General features: G+C 40.9%; 1 protein-coding gene across 1 annotated transcript in view, besides 2 other annotated features; it reads right to left on the reverse strand.

The window, feature by feature from the left end:
- FOXN3 (forkhead box N3) overlaps positions 1-6,380 on the reverse strand; it is a 462,989-nt gene that overhangs the window by 455,537 nt on the left and 1,072 nt on the right. The gene's annotated exons all lie outside the window — the stretch shown is intronic.
- Positions 2,831-2,920: an enhancer, noted in NCBI's record as "active region_8867". NCBI's record gives its function as "activates an Ori minimal core promoter by ATAC-STARR-seq in GM12878 lymphoblastoid cells {active_cell/tissue: GM12878}" and the evidence as "EXISTENCE:reporter gene assay evidence [ECO:0000049][PMID:35858748]".
- Positions 5,178-5,237: an enhancer, noted in NCBI's record as "active region_8868". NCBI's record gives its function as "activates an Ori minimal core promoter by ATAC-STARR-seq in GM12878 lymphoblastoid cells {active_cell/tissue: GM12878}" and the evidence as "EXISTENCE:reporter gene assay evidence [ECO:0000049][PMID:35858748]".

Raw genomic sequence — 6,380 nt, forward strand, 5'->3', positions numbered from 1 at the left:
GAGAACGGCGTGAACCTGGGAGGCGGAGCTTGCAGTGAGCCGAGATCGTGCCACTGCACTCCAGCCTGGGCGACAGAGTGAGACTCCGTCTCAAAAAAAAAAAAAAAAAAAAAAAATCACTGACAAGGGACCTAAAAAGCCCCTTCCATCACTAATGGTCAGATGTGAGAACACAGAATGTGAAGAAGCAAAATCCTATTTCCGGTGGGAATTACAGCAAATATTCCCCAACCCATCCTGCTTTTTCTTCCCCCCGAAGGGAACTCCATTTTCTGTGTGGAAGGGGAAGTCTTCAACCCTGGGATAGAAACAGTCAGAGGAGCAGTTGTGAGGTGGTCAGTCTCGGAGGAAAGCCTGGGATTTGGAGTCAGGGGACTTGACAGTGAGAACTATTAATAGTCGGGTACCAAAGAATGGGTGACTCTGGGAACACAGTTGCCTTGGTTTCTTCATCTGTAGAATGGGACATTAATGCATATTATCATTAGGTATTAGTAGCAGTATTATTAAGCTAATATGAGAACCAATTAAAATAATGCAGAGAGCAGCATCTGACAAAGGAAGGCCCCTCGCTAGTGTGATGTGATTTTTCTGTATCACCCAATACTGCCACACTTCCCCAGAAGTGTCAAGAGGCCATTCTAAATGCTGAATCTAGTCACAAGAAAAAACATGATGGTCTTAATTTAGAGATATTTATTAAGTAGTCCTTATAGAGTCACTGTTTTATTTTAAAAGCTGCAAAAGTATTCAGTTTGCTGAATTAGGAAATTTCAGAGTGCAACAAGAGCTCTTAAACTGGCTGGGTGTGGTGGCTCACACCTGTAATCCCAGCACTTTGGGAGGCTGAGGTAGGAGGATTGCTTGAGCTCAGGAGTTTGAGACCAGCCTGGGGAGCACAGGGAGACCCCATCTCTACAAAAATAAAAAATTAGCAGGGCATAGTGGTACACACCTGTGGTCCCAGCCACTCGGGAGGTTGAGGTGGAAAGACTGCTTGAGCCCAAGAGTTCGAGGCTGCATTGAGCCCAAGAGTTCGAGGCTGCAGTGAGCCCTGACTGTGCCACTGCACTCCAGCCTGGGTGACAGAGTGACAGAGTGAGACCCTGCTTAAAAAAAAAAAAGTCCGGACACGGTGGCTCACGCTTGTGCTCCCAGCACTTTGGGAGGCCGAGGTGGGCAGATCATGAGGTCAGCAGTTTCAGACGAGCCTGGCCAGCATGGTGAAACCCCATCTCTACTAAAAATACAAAATTAGCCAGGCGTGGTGGCACGCACCTGTAATCCCAGCTACTCAGGAGGCTGAGGCAGGAGAATTGCTTGAACCCAGGAGGCGGAGGTTGCAGTCAGCCGAGATCGCGCCATTGCAGTCCTGCCTGGGCGACAGAGCAAGACTCTGTCTCAAAAAAAAAAAAAAAAAAAAAAAAACTCTTACATTATCTAAAATCTAAACTTGTATAATATACTAAAATCCCTCTCCAAGTGGGACCTGCTACTCTCTGAACCTTAAGAAAGTGGCATCTGCAAAGGCACTGCGAAGGTACTAGGCACACATTTGGAGAAGCCACCTGTTAGCAACTTCAGCAAGGTCCTGGTAACTGGCATGTATCCTTCAGTTCAAAAAGAAAGTCCCCCAAACCATGGGAGCTTAATGCTCACTCCCAAAGAAGCACTGCTCCATTATCATGAGTACACCCTGGGACGGTTCTGTTGGTTACACACTCATTCTTCTTTGAAATGCAGGTGGGAGGAGGAAGGAGATAGCTTTAAACAGCCTCAACATGAAAAGCGTCAGTCAACACAATTCAATAGTTAACCACCATCATTTCGATCATTTCATCGTTACCACAGCCAACTATTTGGTCCTTATGCTAGTTTCATCTTTGTAAAGGAAATATTTCATATGTAATTTTTTTTTCCCAGCACAAATTGTTGGAAGATCTTTGGCTTCCTGGAAAACTTATTATTTTAATTGTCATCTCTAACCCCATGCAGGTAGTAGAAACATGGCAAGCACAATGAAAGTAACAGGAGAATGTACAGAGGGGTCTGTCCTTTCTACTTCTATAGACTCCTCAACTGAACTCCCTCTGAGAAACAATGCAGGGAGGTTGGCTGTGGCCATGAGCAGCACAGTTCTACTGCGGTTTGCCTGAATGAAGAGTCTCCTGATTTCTCATCTCCATACCAGGCAGAGGTGAATCTAGTGATTGTGAAAATCAAGAGTGGAACTGAAGGGGATTCCTCTGCCTGCCACCCCTAGAAATCCTCAATACTGACAGCTTCTGGGATGTAAGGGGGAAAACTGAGCCCGATCTCAATACTGCCATTTCAGAACAATCTCATCATTGAGGAGATAATGTGAATATATTTGATGATATGCAAATATCATCTGTGTGTTATCATTTTACTCAACACTCAAAACACTACTGAGTCTGCCAAGCAGATTTATATAGCTTGGCAAATTTTCATTTCATGAATGACACTTCATATGAAATTATTTTCACTGACTAATAGAATAACAGTGATAGAACAGATCTTGAGGTGGAAATAGAATAAAGCCATGCATTTCCAGCAAAATTATAACCAACTAATCTCAAACACCTCCATATGATGTTCCTATAATTTATAAATAAAAGGGGCCCTGGTTTATAAGTAACCCCTAAAAATATGCCTTCCCTCTCATTATAGACTGGGCCAGGGCTCTTTCATGCTTGTGGTCAGTCATCTTTTTCTGTATGTACGTAGGCTTCCTAGGGTACACTGTATTACGTCACTAATTGCCACCTTTTTCCTGCTCACTATGAGCACAAGCAGCCTCTTAAATTGTCAAGGCAAAAGTTCTCTCTTTCGCTAAGAGGTTCCAGGGCTCTGCAAGCAATTCCCCAAGGTCTTCTCTAGAGAACATTTTAGAAGCAGTGATTTGCAAACTGTGTACACAGTGGTACTGGGTTCCAGAGTGTGCCCTGGGCACAGCCCAGGTGACAATAGCAGGCTCTGGGCTCCTAGTTCCCTCAGAGCAGCTCTGTTTTTATTTGACTCATATATTAGGGTCTTGCATAAGATTCTATTTGTTGCTAAGTAGAAAACAAAAATGATGTCTATGAAAATGTGTGCAAACCATTGCAAGAAATGGTTCCGTCTCCCTCAGGCACTCTTAACCTCCCTCACCAGGCTGCTCTCTGCAAATGGAGGCGGATGCATTTATTTTCCTTTAAAGAAGCTTACCCTTTTCTCCTCTTCCCGAATTTGAAACATCTAGGAATTGAAGCAATTAAATATACTCATTTTCAACATTCAGAAACTAATCCAGACTTCTGCACAGCAAATCCTTTCAAAGTTAAAATTTGTTTTTCTCATGTGTACTATAAACTGGATTTAGCCAACCCATCCCCAATTTCGATTTTTTTTTTTTTTTTTTTTTTGCTATCAGCAAGGTTGGCATATACCTAACGTGTATTCTTTATGGACCTTTTGTTATAAGCAATGAGAAGAATGAAGCTGCCTCTTTCTCTTTACCTCTCTACACTAATCCAAAATCGACACTGGCATTTGGTTGGTATTCTGGAATAATTATTAGAAATTTGGCATAGCCATCCAAAAACAGCAGCTTCAGTGAGTGTGTGAGTAACTAGCTGACAACTGAAAATGAATTGGAATTGTATTGAACATCTTGTTCATTTGTATTAGGAAAATAAGTTGCACATGGTTGTACCACGATCAATTTTCCTAATTCCAAAATCAGAAAGAAATAAACCTAAATGCCACAGGTTTGCAGAGAATGAATTGTACCACTCCAAAGCCCCTTTCGAAACGAAGTGTTCTGAGCCAACTATTTGCAAGACAATAGAGAATGAAGGTAGATTCTAGAAACCAACAAATCCCATTCATTTCCTTCAGTTTGTAAAAACAAGCAACTGACATGTTTCCTGCCAATGAACACACTTGCAGATAAGAAAGCTCCCTACAGGAAATCCTTGCTAAAAGAGACCAGTTGTCCCATTAAACTTAATCTTCTTTACCAAGTCCTAATCAGTTAAATATCTGGGTGATTTAGCATATATTTCATAATCCCATGTTGTCAAATATTTAACTTCTACAGTATATATTTCTACGACATACATGCAGAATATTAAACATTAAAATAGAGTTAGGACTCTCCTCCTCCCCACTCCCCATGCAATTAGTTGATGAAAATAAGGGAAATTTGCTGCTTTTTAAAAAGACCAAATTGTTAATTGAACAAGTTTTAAAACTGACCATTATCAATTAAGATAAAGCTATTCAATGCTTCAAATTGCCATGACTTAAAGGAAGACGTTTCTAAATGAATATCAAGAACATAAAATCTGAAGACTGCCATTAACAAGATTAGAAAAATATAAGAAATGTATTTGCTTTATATTTTACAAGGTTCGATGTTGATCCTCAAAGTCAAAATTTAGTACAGGGCCTCTGGTTATTTTTTGCTTAGCAAAATGAACGGGGTTGGGGGTGGAGGCTAGGGGGAGGGGAGGTCTCCAAACTTTTTTCTTTATAGTCCTCATGGAAATCATTACCAAGATACTGGAAATATTTGCAATTTTGATACTGGGAACGTCTCAATTATCCTAAAAACAAAAGCACTCTTCCCCATCCACAAAAGAGGAAACTTTTCTATTTAAGTCAACTGGGTAATAATAATGGGATTTTTGAAACAGTTCTTATTTTCATTTAGATTTTCCTTTCCCTGGTTAGCCTCTGAGAACACCCTCTCTTATATTTCCCAAAGTACCAGGCAATCTTCATCCCTCCCTTTCACTCCCCAACCCCACCCCCACCACCCCACACACAAACGCAGCCTTCAAAATGCCACCAGTCTGTAAGTTCCATTGCTTGAGTTCAACTTTGAACCCTCTTGTAAACACAAACACCTCATTATAACTTCCCCCGATGAATCCTCATCCACAGGTAACATTCTAACCTTTCTGGCTCTCAAAAGAGTTTTGTTCTAACTGTAGACATACAAGTCAGTTTGATCCCACAATTAAGTGTTCAAATACATTGTTCTTAGCCTTCCCTTGCACAGCTCAGAGGTAGCAAAATGCAAAGTAAGCCTGGGGGCTCATCCTTAGTTTAAGGCTCTTTCCTCAAATATTTCCAACAAAAATACAGTTATGAAATCTAGGAGACCACATTTTTGGTTGTTGTTGTAAAATGACCTTGATTTGACAGGCGCGATCTCAGGTTTCAACAGATGCTGTGGGAAAGCTTACAGAAGCCAACAAGTTCTCCAGGCATCTGTGATGACATGCAGGTTTTGTTTTTGTTTTTGTTTTTGTTTCTTTTTAAGTGGTGGTCATGGTAGAGTATGTATGTGTAGTGGGGGTGGGGTGGGGTTACTCCTCTCGGTTTCCATAACAACCATGTCTCCACTCATCGGTTATTAGATACAATCCACTTCCTGTGTCTAAATTTTTAAGCCAATCAGAAAAGTGTTTATACATTTAACAACTTCTGGGACAGTGCTTCTTTAATGAAATCGCTTTAAAGGCTCAAATGAAGATGTTCATGGGCTTTACAGTTTGTCTTACAGATATAACATTTCACAGTGTTTACTAATTCATATTCTTATATGGTGCAGAATGCCCTTCCTCTTGGATGTGAAATGCATTCGCCTCAAAGCAGATGCCACAATCTCTCAGAATAGTGTGCAGGCTGATTTTGATTGTTTGCTTTTCATTGTCTTTTCCTTTCACTGTCACAGTTTTAGACTTAGTGCATGAAACGTGCTAATGCACAAGGCACTTAAATTATCAAAGTAATGATACAGTTAAGCATCCATCTACTGATGGTCCTTTTTTTAAAAGACTCAGATCAAAACCCGGTTAGGAATCATTATTCTAAGTTGAACAACTTTGCATTCTACAACTTATGAGCAGAAATCATTGAGAATGTATTGTAAAGTGCTGTGTATACGTGTAAGCTAGTAGCTGACGTCTGCAAAGAAATTTGTCACCAAAATGGCCTACTTTATGTGGATAGAAACAACAACAAAAAATTAAACATAAAGGTATCTCGAGCAAACTGCACCCAAATGAAAAACCGACCCTGCAGAAATCTGTGCACAAGAGGGCTATCTGAAACTACAGCACGATTTTAAAAGAAGGTTTTGGGTGACTGTTTTCATAAGTCTCAATCTAACTGACCAATCAGTGTGAGAGTTAAAGTGGGCTCCAGTCATTCGTGCAGCCTTCAGAGCTCTGCACCCTCCGAGCTGCTCTCCTCTCCAAGGCAGAGTCGGCGATCAATGAAAAACAGGGAACAAAAGGAATATAACAGGATGTCTTCCTTAGCTAAGGAAAACGATTCCCTTTTTCCTCAATGAGCCAGTCGCACCC

This window comes from Homo sapiens, chromosome 14, assembly GCF_000001405.40.
Source record: "Homo sapiens chromosome 14, GRCh38.p14 Primary Assembly".
Taxonomy (NCBI): domain Eukaryota; kingdom Metazoa; phylum Chordata; class Mammalia; order Primates; family Hominidae; genus Homo; species Homo sapiens.